This window comes from Homo sapiens, chromosome 2 (assembly GCF_000001405.40).
Source record: "Homo sapiens chromosome 2, GRCh38.p14 Primary Assembly".
NCBI classification, from domain to species: domain Eukaryota; kingdom Metazoa; phylum Chordata; class Mammalia; order Primates; family Hominidae; genus Homo; species Homo sapiens.
The window spans coordinates 49141130-49154807 of record NC_000002.12 but is presented as its reverse complement, the minus strand read 5'-3'; the positions used below and the strand labels follow the sequence as shown (position 1 = coordinate 49154807).

At 38.7% G+C, this 13678-nt stretch overlaps 1 protein-coding gene across 4 annotated transcripts in view; it reads left to right on the top strand.

The window, feature by feature from the left end:
- The window catches only part of FSHR (follicle stimulating hormone receptor), a 192359-nt gene continuing 178973 nt past the window's right edge, over nt 293–13678 (top strand). For all 4 annotated transcript variants that reach the window (NM_181446.3, NM_000145.4, XM_011532733.3 and 1 more), the window contains exon 1: nt 293–542. In NM_181446.3, the coding sequence (NP_852111.2) occupies nt 391–542 (152 nt within the window). In that variant the 5' untranslated portion in view covers nt 293–390. The remainder of the gene's footprint in view (nt 543–13678) is intronic.

The window sequence follows — 13678 nt, the reverse complement described above, 5'->3', positions numbered from 1 at the left end:
TTAGTACCCCTCTTAGTGATGTGTCATATTGTGGGTTGTGTCTTTTTTGGAGAAAGTCAATCATGTCACTCTGTTGAGAAGAGAATGGTGAACAGCAAGGAGACTTTTGCAATGAAATAATGCAAACTATTCCAGACATGCCTAATGGTTCTATTTGCTGTGTGCCTTAGGTCAGGGTGTAAGAAACCCAATCTTGAAGGAAAACAGAGTAGCTTATCTTGCCTGGAAGTAACAAAAAAAAAAAAAAAAAGCATCCCTTGGTGGGTCACATGACCCTACCAGTTCTCAAGTCAGATCTCTTCTCATAAGGGCACTGTGTGGAGCTTCTGAGATCTGTGGAGGTTTTTCTCTGCAAATGCAGGAAGAAATCAGGTGGATGGATGCATAATTATGGCCCTGCTCCTGGTCTCTTTGCTGGCATTCCTGAGCTTGGGCTCAGGATGTCATCATCGGATCTGTCACTGCTCTAACAGGGTTTTTCTCTGCCAAGAGAGCAAGGTGACAGAGATTCCTTCTGACCTCCCGAGGAATGCCATTGAACTGTGAGTATCAGAGGGAGGGGGAACAACTGCATGGCTGGCATTTGTGCATTGCGTACTATTATTATTTTTACATTAGGCTGATATCTGTTAGACTGAAATATTTCTGCCCCTTGACCGAAGTCCTGAATAAAACAACTAACTCCCCAGCCCAACCCTCCTGCCTGTGGCTTTCCAAGAATCTTAGATGAGAGTTTGTATCAGCATTTGTCAGAGAACGGCAGTGTCAGAGAACCGGAATCCAAAGGCAAAGGGAAAAGTTTTGTCTTTTCAATGCATTTGCTCTTGGGTTTCATACTCTCTTTAGTGGAACCAGAAAAGGAAAATGAAGGCAAAGTAGAAACTTAGGAGACCCAGAATTGGAGGCAGAAAGGCAGCTTTGATCTAAGCAGAATACACAAGGTATGTCTCCCGAGGACACTGAATCTAAAAGGCCATAGTCTTTGTCGTTTTGAAGGCAGCAGCAAATAATTCCTGAACTGAGATTCTGCTTTTGGGTGTAAAAAGGAGGTGGTAGAGAAGAGAAAAGGTGTGAAGAAAGAAAGAAAGATAGGAAAGACACAGAGAGAGGGAGAAATACAGGATAATCTTTTACACAACTGGAAAAAAATGTGATTAATAAGTTAGAAATTTACTTAACTATTTTAACAGGAAGTAGACTCCTAGAGTTGGCCAAGAATTTAGACACCATCCTACTCTCTCTTTCTTTTGCAAATTAGGAATCTGGTGTCTGAAGAGTAAAGAGGATTTTCCAAACTCTCGTGATGAGTTGAGATGGAGCCAAAAGTAGAAATCGGGCCTTTTGACTCACAGTCTACTGTTTTGTTTTGTTTTGTTTTGTTTTCCCAACCCACTGTGACTGACTCCATTAGAGCAACAGTGAGGGAAGCCTGAAGTAATTGTTCAGTTACTGCTTCCCCTGAGAACTGGCAAGTTGGGACTCAGGGATTTTAGATACTCTCTGTGTTTTTATTGCAAGGATTTTAAACAGAAGCCTGTTTCAACCTTTGTCACTTAAAGCTGTGGATGATTTGCATTTAATTGAAGAAGGTGGTCATCTCTTTAGTTCACCAATTGCCATATTGACACTGAAACATGTTGGTGTTGCATTTCAGATTTTCACTCAGGGACAATGAGTTGCAGCCTTGCAGACCTGATTGATTCTGTTTGCCACATTTCCCCTTAACATCTCAAGTCTTCAGTCCTTATCCAGAGGCAGCTGCAGAGGCAGGGAAAATAACTGGCCAGCTCTGTGTTTTGGCTACACTGTCTCAGATTAGACAGCTACTCCTGATTATGCTGAAGAATGTGCCCATGCACAAAGACAGTCTGATTTATTAGGTAAATATAAGCACAGGAGAAGGCCAATGTACCTGAGCTCCTATAAGTCATTTGGTCCTAAGTGACTTTCAGTGATTACTTAACCCCTTCTGAGCCTCAAGTTCCTCATTTCTGAAGCCATTTTAGTACAACCTGCTTGGTTGAATTGTTGTGAACACTAAAAGATATAGATGACCCCTACACCCTAATTTCCACCTCTCCTGGACCTACTCCACTTTTTCCAATGTTTCCATGTGGGTCAAGCAGTGTCATCCAGTTGATAAAACAAACAGACCCAAACAAGTTTTAATTTTAGGGTGATTTCACACTAGCCTGTCTGCTTTCTGAAATCTCCTTATCAGAAGAGAGATTTTCTTTTTTCATTCTGCAGAGAAAACATAGGCCAAAAAAGAGAAAAGATGGAGGGAAAAAGGGAAAAAGAGAAAGAAAAGAAAGAGGAAAGAAAAGAAAATCCACCCCCACACCCTAAAGCTTCAGGGAGTATATTTGTATGAATTACTATGAGAGGATATGAATTTTTGAAAAAAAGTAATGCTAAGGTATAAATGACTAAAACACATCTCTGGCCAAGAGCATTTTGCAACTAAGGAAAGAGAGCATGAGATGTTGAGATAGTATGGAAAGAGACTGTGTGAGAGAGTGTGATGAACAGAGCACCAGAAACAAATTTCACATTCTTGACAAAGGCTAGCTCTAGGTCAATTCCTTACTTCAGTGTACGTATTAGAGGACAAAGTTGCATAAAACTAAGAAAAGGAAAGAAAGTTCCTGCCAGGTGTTAGGATTTTCCTCCACCTAAGGAATGAGTATAGTTAAGAGCTTTAGAAGCTCTCTCAAATACCCAGTCTTAAGAAGATTCTGTCTTCTGCACACTCATTGGTAGGGCTTGACTTGGACCATCTTAGAGTTTGGCTTTGCAATCTTCTTGGAAAGGTGTACTGAGGTGAGAAGAGAAATGTTGCTTTGTCTATTAGATTTTAAAAAAGGAAAATTATTTCAGGTCAGTGTGTTAATCACTGAAGAGTAGATAAAATGTCAAGTGAATTACAACTCACATACTGTTAGAATGAGAGAGCAATTACCTTTATTTTTGCTTCCTTAAAAAGACTGAATCAAGGTTATCTAAGTAAATGGCAGAACAGGGATGAAATGGACTGTTCAACTAAGTATCTCTAATTCACCTTACAATCTTCCAAGTTTGCGTATTAACTTTAATGATTACATGAGGTGTAGGTGGATGGATTATTGGACTTCATTGACTGCAATTGCTTAATCCATCAACATGTCAAAGCTTCATTGTTACTCAGGCTCACCGGGTGGAAAACAATTCCTACATTTTACTATGTACATTTTTATCCTATCATTCCATTCACCTTGCAGCAGTTTCATTTCATTTGATACATCTGCCAGCTATCACGAAAGATTGCTAATTTCCTATGATCTGCACATGCTGATATTAATGCTAAAAGAACAGAAGCACCATCAACAGGCAAGTAGATTTCATTTACTAAGGGGCTCCTACTATTTGCTTTATGCAGTATGTTTTGTACATACTACTTCATTAAAACTTCACCAAAAACTGCAAGTTTGGAATTATTGCTCTGTTTTTCAAATAAGACAAACCAAAGCACAAAAAAGTTGAGTAGCTCTGGCAATTATCCCTGCAGCTCCTGGATGGCAGAGCTGGGATCCAAATTTGAATCTTTTATATCTCCTCTGCATGCCATGTGAAATGAACATCATCTGACTCTATACCTTTCTTATTCTGAAAAAAAAAAAAAAAAAAGAGTAATCCTTTACATTTTAAACCAGAAGTCAGCTTTATGGGCTATACCACTTCTTGCAACTACTCACTTCTATCACAGTAGCAGAAAAGCAGCCATAAACAACATGTAAATTAATGAACATGGACATGTTCCAAGAAAACTTTATTTATGAACACAGAAATTTGAATTTCATATAATTGTCATGTCACACAAAAAAGCATTATTTTGATTTTTTTCAACCATGTGAAAAGGTGAGAAAGATTTTTAGCTTACTGGCCATAGAAAAACATGGGGCAAGCCAAATTTGGCCCATGGACTATGTATTGCCCACTTCTGATTTAGACTATAGCTGAGAGAGTGGGTTAAGTATTACTAGTTTGAGTGGGGTTTAGGCAGCCTGAGGCACCATGGCACCATGGAGAAAGTACTAAACTAGGGGAGCAGGTTCACTCACGGGCAGCCTTTAGCTGGTTCTGATGAGTCAGAGATGGTGGAGTATAGTGTTTAGAATCTGAGAGACCTGAGTTTAAACCCAGGATGTTCCATTAAATTTTAGCTCTGTTATCTGGACCTTTGGCTGTATAATGGAAATCACCATGTGTGCCTAACTGACAGAGATGCTATGAGGATTACATGAGACAATGTGGGTGAAACACTTTGCACAATATCTCTCATGTTGTTATTGTTGTTGATGATAATAATGTTGCTCTCAACTGTAAAATATTAGGCAAAAATTATCTACCACAGAGGGCTTTCGTGAGGACCAAGTCAGTCAAGAGATATGAGACTGATTTTGGAAAATTGATATAAAGATCTTTATAACTCTGAGGTAGTTTACAACCTCCCATTTGTTTAAGAATAATCTCCTCCCAGGGTATCTAGCACTTAATCTCCATGGACTTACTTTCTGGGTAAGAAAATGTGTCCCTTAACGCTGTCCATATTTGTCAAGAACTCAGGGAGCAGGTTCATTCTGACTATAGTCAAAGGAATTTTGGTTTCTGACTTATCTTAGAAACTCAGCTTCACCTAGAGGCAGTCAGTGGATCTAGAAAAGTGCCTTTGATCTTACTTTATTCTTCCTGCAGTTAGAATTCCTAAGGAGAATGCAAACACCCATTCTACATCTGAAATTTGAAGTCTAGGCAACAGTATGGACGTAATGATGTTTTTCTTCAGCAGGGTCAGATGATTATAATACTAAAGAAGAAAAGGGTCTATTGATGGTCATTCTTGTCTTAAGGAAACCTGTCCTGGGATTATATTATAGGCTGCCTGTGTTAAACCTTGTCCTTATAGCAAGTTCCCATATCTCATTGCAATCTCTTTTCACTAGCATTTACTTCTAATTATCAAATTATCTTTTCCTCTTTTTATTTTCTTTCTTTGGCTTACATTCCTTATTTTTTCATCCTGGTTTAGATCTCCATATTCCATAACCACAGATTATTATTAGGAATTTTAAAGTGTGTCTAGGTTAGTCTTTGTTTAATAGGTCCTTAGTTCAGAGGGATGTATCAATCGTGTACAAAAAGGGTAGCCTTTGCTATACCAAGGCGTTCTGTGATGTCTTAAGAGTGAAACAGAGTTTTTGATGTTTGCAAACTGAGCCACTTTTCTAAGAGTATTCTGAGGATTAACATTCCACAGAGGTCACTTTGGGAAAGGCTGGTCTATCCAACCCCAGCCATCAGGATAAATTCCTTCTAAAGTCTGAACCACAACCCAGGCCTCTTGACTCTCAGATTCAGTGTTCAATATCACATCTAGAAAAGGACTCTTGGATTCGTTTTTATTGCTTTGTGCCTGACAAGTAGGTATTTTAAAGTGTGCTGTGTTCTCATGAAGGAGATGGTTCTGAAGTATAGACTATAGGTAACCATGAGGTAACCAGGTATTACCTGTTCTGAGGTGAAGAAAGAGAAGATAAAACAATGGATTACAAAACTATAAAAACCATTCCTAACTTCCTCATTTGTTGAATGTTGACAGTTTACTTCTCCTCATCATATAGGTTTCAAACTTTTCTGGTTACCCATCTAATCAGTTTACAAGTTCCTTTCATATTTCTGCTACTAATAATAATATTTTTTTTAAAAAAATTACCATTATCTTTGCTTCGGCCCTGGCAATCTAAATCCTGGATTATATAATTACTTCCTAATTTATGTCTTTCTTATCAATCCCTCTTTTCTCCAAACTAGCCTGCACACCGTCATTCTATTTTCTCCATAAAACACCACTGCCACCATGTTGTGATTTCCCAGTTCAAAAACATTCAATAGCTCATCTTTCTGACTTTACCTCTCTTTATTCTCCAACAGGAGCCTACTCCACAGGGCTCAAGCATAGTTTGTGCATTTCTACCTCTTTGTGTCTTTACGTTATGCCTCCTGTTTGTACTATTCTCAGTTTATTCTTTGTTTCTTGAAATTCAGCCTTATTATAATCTTGCTCAAAGGTTGCCTCTTTCATGAAGTCTTCCCTTACCACTCCGTCTTTATTTAAACTTGCTTTCATTCAAACACTGGTGCAGTTCATTTCACACTTAATCTTGCCTTGCGTTTAATTTTTCATGTGTGTCTTATTTCCTCAACTGTAGTGAAAATTTCCTTTGTACACCTTAGTGTGTCTGGTTCAATACGATGTGTATTCTGGACGCTCAATTACAGGTAGTACAAATGATTCGATAAATCAGGAGGAATTACATCTGTTTATTTGCTCTGCTCCTCAGTATTGAATAAAGAATTCTTATAAAAGATGATTATTACTTTCTCCTGCAGTGAACTAGTATAGGATCGGATAGCTTTCTTATTTTCCTTGCTTTTTTATGTGTTTGTTTTAAGAAAATTCCTGTGTGTCATTCCAGAATCCATTAATTTATACAGAAAGAAAGAGACGTTGACTAGAAACAAGGTCTACTGAGTTAAAAGTTGAATATTCTATACTCTAGGCACATCATTCAATTCTCTTGACTTACGTGATAATACTTGCCTCTCTATACCTAACAAAAATATCGAAAAGAGGAAAGTGATTTTGCCCAAACAAAATCACTTTAAACCAGACAGAAGTGTTCAAAAAATATAATTTTTGCCAATTAAGGTCAGATTCTAGACCCTGAATTTTAAGTTTTCTATATTCCTCAGATGTACTTTGATTGTCGTAGTTCTCTCTGATTATCAAAACTGAACACCCCACTGTGCAAATTGCCCTGAGTGCCCATGTTTGGAGTCTCCTATAGCCTTGTTTAGGTACTTCTTTGACAGAAACAAACAGCACAGCGTTCACACTAATATATACATAATCCTTTCTCTTGACATAAAATCCTGCACCTACTTTTGTGAGAAATGATATGTCTATGTCCAACATTTGGAATTTAATTGGGCTGGGGGAAGGGAGGTTTATATTCCCTGCAGAAGAATAAAAAAAAAAATGACTAAAGGAACAGCTATAGAATGCAGTACCTTGAAAGAGAAAAAGTGGAAATTACATTGCAGGGAAAGAATCCTTTAAAGTAGAAGATGAACTCTATCCTGAGAATTGGCTAAGAGCTATAATTTACAGAGTCATTATTAGCAATTGAAGAGTAGGGGTTTGATAGCAGAGAACTGCACTTGCTTGGTGATGATAAAACCCCCTTGTTTACCTAAAGGTGCATGCTATCCTTCCTCACCCAAGTCCTCTACTCTAAGAAGCCTATGCTTCAGAAATAGGACATTGTGGCAGCAAATGGGAAATTCATTTAACTTTTGATTATCTTTCTCCAAAGCCACTAATTGGGTTATCTAGCCACTGTGGTTGATTGGACTATACTTTTTCTTTAGGCGCTTAGATTTAGACTCTCCAATTTAGCTTTGTTTAGACTAGATTTTAGCTTATATAGCCCACAAGGTCAGCTAGGAAAGAGAGTAATTATTTTTAATTGCCTAGGATCTGATTATAATGAGATATGGATGTTTGTTCTTAATCTGACCTCTCCCTGGAGTATCTCAGAGCATGTTTTGTATCTCTGACCTGAACATGCCATTACCTTGTTCTTTCGTATGAAATAGGCTGGCTGATCTGAAAATCTTCAAAGGATATGTAAAATAATATTTGAATAAAGCAGCCAAACACGTGCTATGCACTTGAATTCAATTATACTTTTAGTCTTCAGAGTGACATGAGCCCTTTTTTGCATCTCATCTCTCAGACCTTTTTCAGCAAGAGTCAACATAAAGTTATCACAGAGTCCTGTGTCAGAAACCATCAAGAATGCACAGCTGAGCCCATTTTTGTATCTTTCTAATGGCAAGCTTGATGAAAACTTCTAAGAAATAGGGACCTCAAAAGTTTAACTGTTTCGATGCAACAGAAAGATCCACAAATTGAGGATATTGAGAGAAAACTCATCAGTAGATTGCTGAAAGTTTGATGTAAAATGACGCTGAGATGTTTTCAATTCTCAAATGCTTTGATTTTACAAGCATCTTCAGGCACCAAACTTCCCCAAACCAATAGGCTTTCTCTAGGCGTCAGATTCCAGCAGCTGTGTAATCCTTGCGCTCCTCTGATCTCACTTGTGGGATTTAGAGAGTGAGCATGTTTCCCTTGGGCTGAATAGTTCTGTTATTTTGAGATGCAGCATGGAAAAACCCCACACAAACATCTCTTTCTCTTGATATTTTCAACTTGTTGAGGGGTTTTAAACAAAGAATTTATGAGGGATCCTATCTCCAGCAATGATTTCATAACTAAACAGGGGGACAGGTCTCTGAGCACTGCATCCCTCCTGAATTCTCTTGGAATAAGGACTTGAGAAAGAAAGGCCCCTTATATGAAAGGGCCACATCCTTGAGCACTAGACTTTCTGAAGTGGCTTCGGTTTCAAATATTCTGTCCCTTTAAGAAAGCTTACAAAATGTTGGTTCATAAGATAGGATTACATCCCTAGAAGATGGCATTGCCTCTTGTGGTTCCTCGTCTTCTCACAATAGTAGCCTCTGAATTGGTCTTTGAGCTTTCCATCTTCTTCCCTCCCAGATCCCTGCTCTGAGATCTTGTCCTGGTTTAATTCCTCTGTGGGTACACATGCCCAAATTCAGAACAAAAATCCAGTCACAAGTTTGGCATTAAGATCCTCTGTATTTTGGCCTCAAATTAACTCTTCTATCTCATCTCTTCTCTTACATCCTCTCAACCCTATGCTCTATGTGCTATTTTCTACTCCCCAGCTTCCAAATATGTTTTATATTCCCCTACTCAAGTACTACTATTTTCTCCAGCCTGAATATATTCTCCTACTCCAATATTACTCACCTTTGATACCAAAGAAAAGATGCTCATTTTTCATGAAGTTTTCTTTGAACAGCAAATATTTATTAATTATATATGTTCAAGGTTCTATATTAGGCACTGGAGAGAAAACAATCAATAGGAAAGGCAAGATCCCTGTCCTCATGAAGTTGCCAAAAAAGAACTCAAACAAGCAGTGACAATGTTTTTCCTTGCTCTTACTTGCAACTATCAGTATCTCTCTCAGAACTCAGAATAGTCATTGTCGAAATCACTAATTTGACAACTAATTGCATGTTGCTTTGTGCAATCTGAAATCATAGATTGTGAGAGCTAGAAGGAATGGATACCTGCCTGCCTGATGCCAGAACAGAGATGATAAGAAGACAGCCATTGGCCTGTCCCATCTAGATTTGCCTTCTTGACCACCGTGGGATGATTTCAGGGGCTATATAGGGCCACTTCCAAAATACTCCATTGCTTTAAAGCTAGCAAATCCTTGTTTTATTTTATAAGAAGGGCACAGACCTGAACTAAAATATAATGAACAATCAGCAAATTAATGATAGGGTTCAATGGAAAGGTGTCCAAATATTTAAGTTTGACTAAAAGTTTACAAATTGTCAAAATACAAGAGACTCAATCTTTTCAGTTTGGATAAAGGAGGTTAACACAGAAGGTAGAAAAGAGCACCAAAGGGAAACGTAGGCTGCATTGTTTTCTTTGCCAACTTCACCGTTTTTCCAAAACTACTTGTATTGATAAATACTATTTTATGCCTGTTGGGTAAAAGTTTACCCGTCAATGGGCTGTGTATGCCAGCTTCCCCCAAAGCAGCTGGGATGATCCTGAATCTAGTAAAAGACCAGAGCTAATCTTAACAAAGGCCATAGCCCTCCAAAAATGACAGACCTTAAGACATTTTGCTTTGGCATGAGGGGGACAGTAATAAGGAATTACAGAATGCTCTTGAACTTATAAGTAATTTCCTTGTCCTCTAAATTTCAAACTATTTGGCATGGTTATATTAGCTTTAGGGTAGAAAAACAAATTAAATGCAAAAGAATGATCACTGTCTACCATCAGATCACAGCCTGAGCAGGTACCCACAGTCAACAACAAACCCTTGCCACTACCATGTACCCATCAAAGCTAATTTCTCGTCAGGGCAGGAAAGGAAGAAACCTTCATTGAATTGCTGTTTGTTTTGTGGGCAAGCAGTGCAGCATTTCTCTAAGTAAATACATTGGAGAGGACATTAGAAAATGCAACAAGAAACATTATTTTAAGTTAGAAAACAAACTGGAAAAGCAATGAAATAAAATATGACAATTATGATGAACAGCAAAGAGGTCATCTGGAATCCTGCAAACAGTAGCAAAATTGCTTATCATGCCCCTGATTGTGAAAATCTGCTGAACTCCTTTAATAAGAACACACAGTCTTTGAATGGCATCTCATTCCCCCAAACAAATACTAGAAATAAGGGGAAAGAAGTGCAAATAGTTATGCTAGTCAGATAGGAAAATTACAAAGTGGCTCTGGAAGCAGATGTTTGGGGTAAGATTCTGGAGGAAGAAGAGCAACAATAGCCGCAGCAGCAGATTTAAGAACCTCAGCCAAAGAAACAGCTAGGCTGTTTGTTGGGGAATTGCTGCATCAGAATCTTTATGTCTTGACTTGGGCTGGTTGAATTTCCTGGAGAAGATTCTTCCAAATTCCTACTGGAGGATGAAGTCCTGACTACCAGCATTCTGGTGGTTGGGAAAAGAACTAGGGTCTCAGCATCCAACAGTCGTAAGTGGCACCTGGCATCCTCAAGTCCAAAAACTCCCTATTTTATGCTCTCTAAAGAATAATTCTTTGGGGTTTTGCTTGGGTGGGTAGGGGCACTCCCATGACTGTTCTGAGGGGAAAGTCTGGCTGCCTTTTAAATATACTTTCCACCAATCCTCTTTATTTTATCCATTTTACCCGATTTCCACCCCTGCCCCACTCCTAGAGATACCAGTGCCTCCAGTCCCTGAGTGTTTTAGGGATGGTGCAGTATAAATCACTTTGGCTTCCATTTTCTAGAGTCAACCAAGTAACACTTCTCAAACTTTAATGTGCTTGCAAAGTAGAGGAATATATTGTGGAATGCAGATTTTAATTCAGCTTTCTGGGATGCTGTCAGTACTAGTTCCAGAACCACATTTCTCCATCTTTGCAATCCTAAAATTTTCTTGCTCTTGTTCTTCTGTCCTTGTTGCTTTATTCATTTAAAAAACAAATTCCCTTATTGTCTTCTCAGTGGAGTTTCAGGAGGAAACAAATAGTTGTTTATTTAATATGCCATTTCTACCCAGGAATTCCCATTCATTATTCACCCACTCAATCTGGCTCTGTCTCCATAGTTCCACTGAGCTGAAAATTCTTCTTGTCACAGGTACCAAAAAATTTCTCTTTATCTTCCATATGTTTTGTACAGTGATTATATTACATTTTACAACTCTGAATATAAGAGGAATGTGCTGAATTCATATGGCAGATTCTGTGGTCACTTATCTGTTCACATTACACACCTCTCAGGAACACTCCATGCAGTGACCATTCGAGTACTTGACACATGTTCCTTTTTTGACTTTCAGTGTCTGTGATACCACACTAGTTTTCCTCCTATAGCTCAGGCAAAACTTTGATCTCCTCTGCTGACTTCTCTATTGCTTCTCAGCCTCTAGATGTTGGAGTTCCCAGGCTTCCTCCTGAACCTTCTTCTGTTGTGCATCTGTTCTCTCTGTATGGTGAGCTCATCCAGACAGCTTTAAATATCACCTACATTCAGAATATGTGTGCCATTTCTGACTGCCTTATGGAGCCCAAGACATATAATATTCAACTGAAACCTTGACTTCTCCACTTGACTTTTACAAGCATCTCAAAACCAACAAATAGAAAATAGTAACACTTAATTGCCTTCCTTTAAGCCCCACAGAATCTCTTCTCCCAGCCTTCATCATCTGTATAAACGCACATGTCACCAAACTGTCACTCCCAAATCCAATCCATCAACAGGTGCTGGGGATTTGACACATAAACTATAGCTCCAAACTCTTCATTTATCCGTATCTCCCCTACCACCACTATAGCTTAATTCACCATCATCCCTCACCTGGGCTACTGCAATGTCCCCTACCTTTTCCATTTCCTTGTTTCACTTGAATTAACAGTCTATCCCCTATGCAGCAGCTAGAGGCATTTCAAAAGCATATGACATCCAATTACATAGAACTTCATTTAGAATAAAATTTATTACACTCATGTTTTATGACTGCCTACTATGACAGGCACTGTTTGAGGTGCCAGAGAGTCAGGAGTGAGCAAAACAGACAAAATATCTTTCCTTGTGGAGCTAATGTGCTTTGCCATGACTACAAAGCACCCCATGATTTGACCTCTTCCTGTCACCCTGGACCCCTTTCTACTCTTTAGAAACACTAGGCTCTTTCCTACCTTAGATCTATTTTTCTCTTTCCTCTTCACATCTTTCAGCATGATGAGATGACACGAGATGACTTTTCATCTTTTCAGTCTCTACCCAAATGCCACCTCCTTAGAAGGGTCTTTTTGACCACTCCACTATAATAGCACATAAACTTACTACAACTTGAATGTTTTCATTTCTTTACTTTCCTCCCCACCACTAGAAACTAGAACTAAAGTTGAATGATGGCAAAGATTTCAACATGTTGAATAGTCCCCAGCACAGAGTAAACACTCAATACATATATGAGTTGAAAGAATAAATGAAAGGGCTTCTCAAGCAAATAATAACTAGAAGGAAAGACTGAATGTAACAAACATCTAATAAGTCCTACTGTGTCACTATGCTGCATGCCACCTATAGCATCTTGCCCAACAATTTTGCACTGTAGCTATTACTGTCCCTATTTTGGAAATAAGGAAACTAAAATTTAAGAATTAGCCCAAAGTCACTCAGCTTCTCAGTATCAGAATTGAAATTGACATCTCTTATATACCTGATTTTAACATGCCCATTCTTTGTATGAACAAGGAAAAAAAGACACAGTGGGCCTCTTTTTACTCTGAACTCCTAAAGTAAAGTCTAAACTCTTCATCTGAGCACTTACATATGTAAAATGCTGGACTCATCTTTAATACAGAACTTATGTATTATTTTGTCTCCCATATATAGTAAGCTGAAGATTAGCACTGCACTCTTCTCCTGTACCCAGTCAGGGTTGGCGACATAGTTTGGATGTGTGTCCCCTCTAAATCTCACATGGAAACATAATCCCCATTGTTGGAGGTGGGGCCTGGTGGGAGGTATTTGGATCATTGGGGTGGATCCTTCATGGCTTGGTGCTGTTCTCTTGATAGTCAGTGACTTCCCGTGAACTCCTGTTGTTGTAAAGTGTGGTATCTCCCCACTACCTTGCTCCTGCTCTGCCACGTGGGATTCCTGTTCCTCCTTCAACTTTCATTATGAGTAAAAGCTCCCTGAGGCCTCCGCAGAAGCCAAGCAGATGCCAGCACCACACACTTCCTGTAGAGCCTGCAGAACCATGACCCAATTAAACCTCTTTTCCTTATAAATTACCCAGTCTTAGGTATTTTTTAATAGCAATGCAAGAACAGCCTAACACAGATGGGTACAAGCAACTACTCCATGAGGAGAGAGAAAGAGAGATTCAATCAGTGGGGTTGTGAATAAATAGAAGGACTAAAAAGTAAATGCGATGACAATTTCCAGAAATA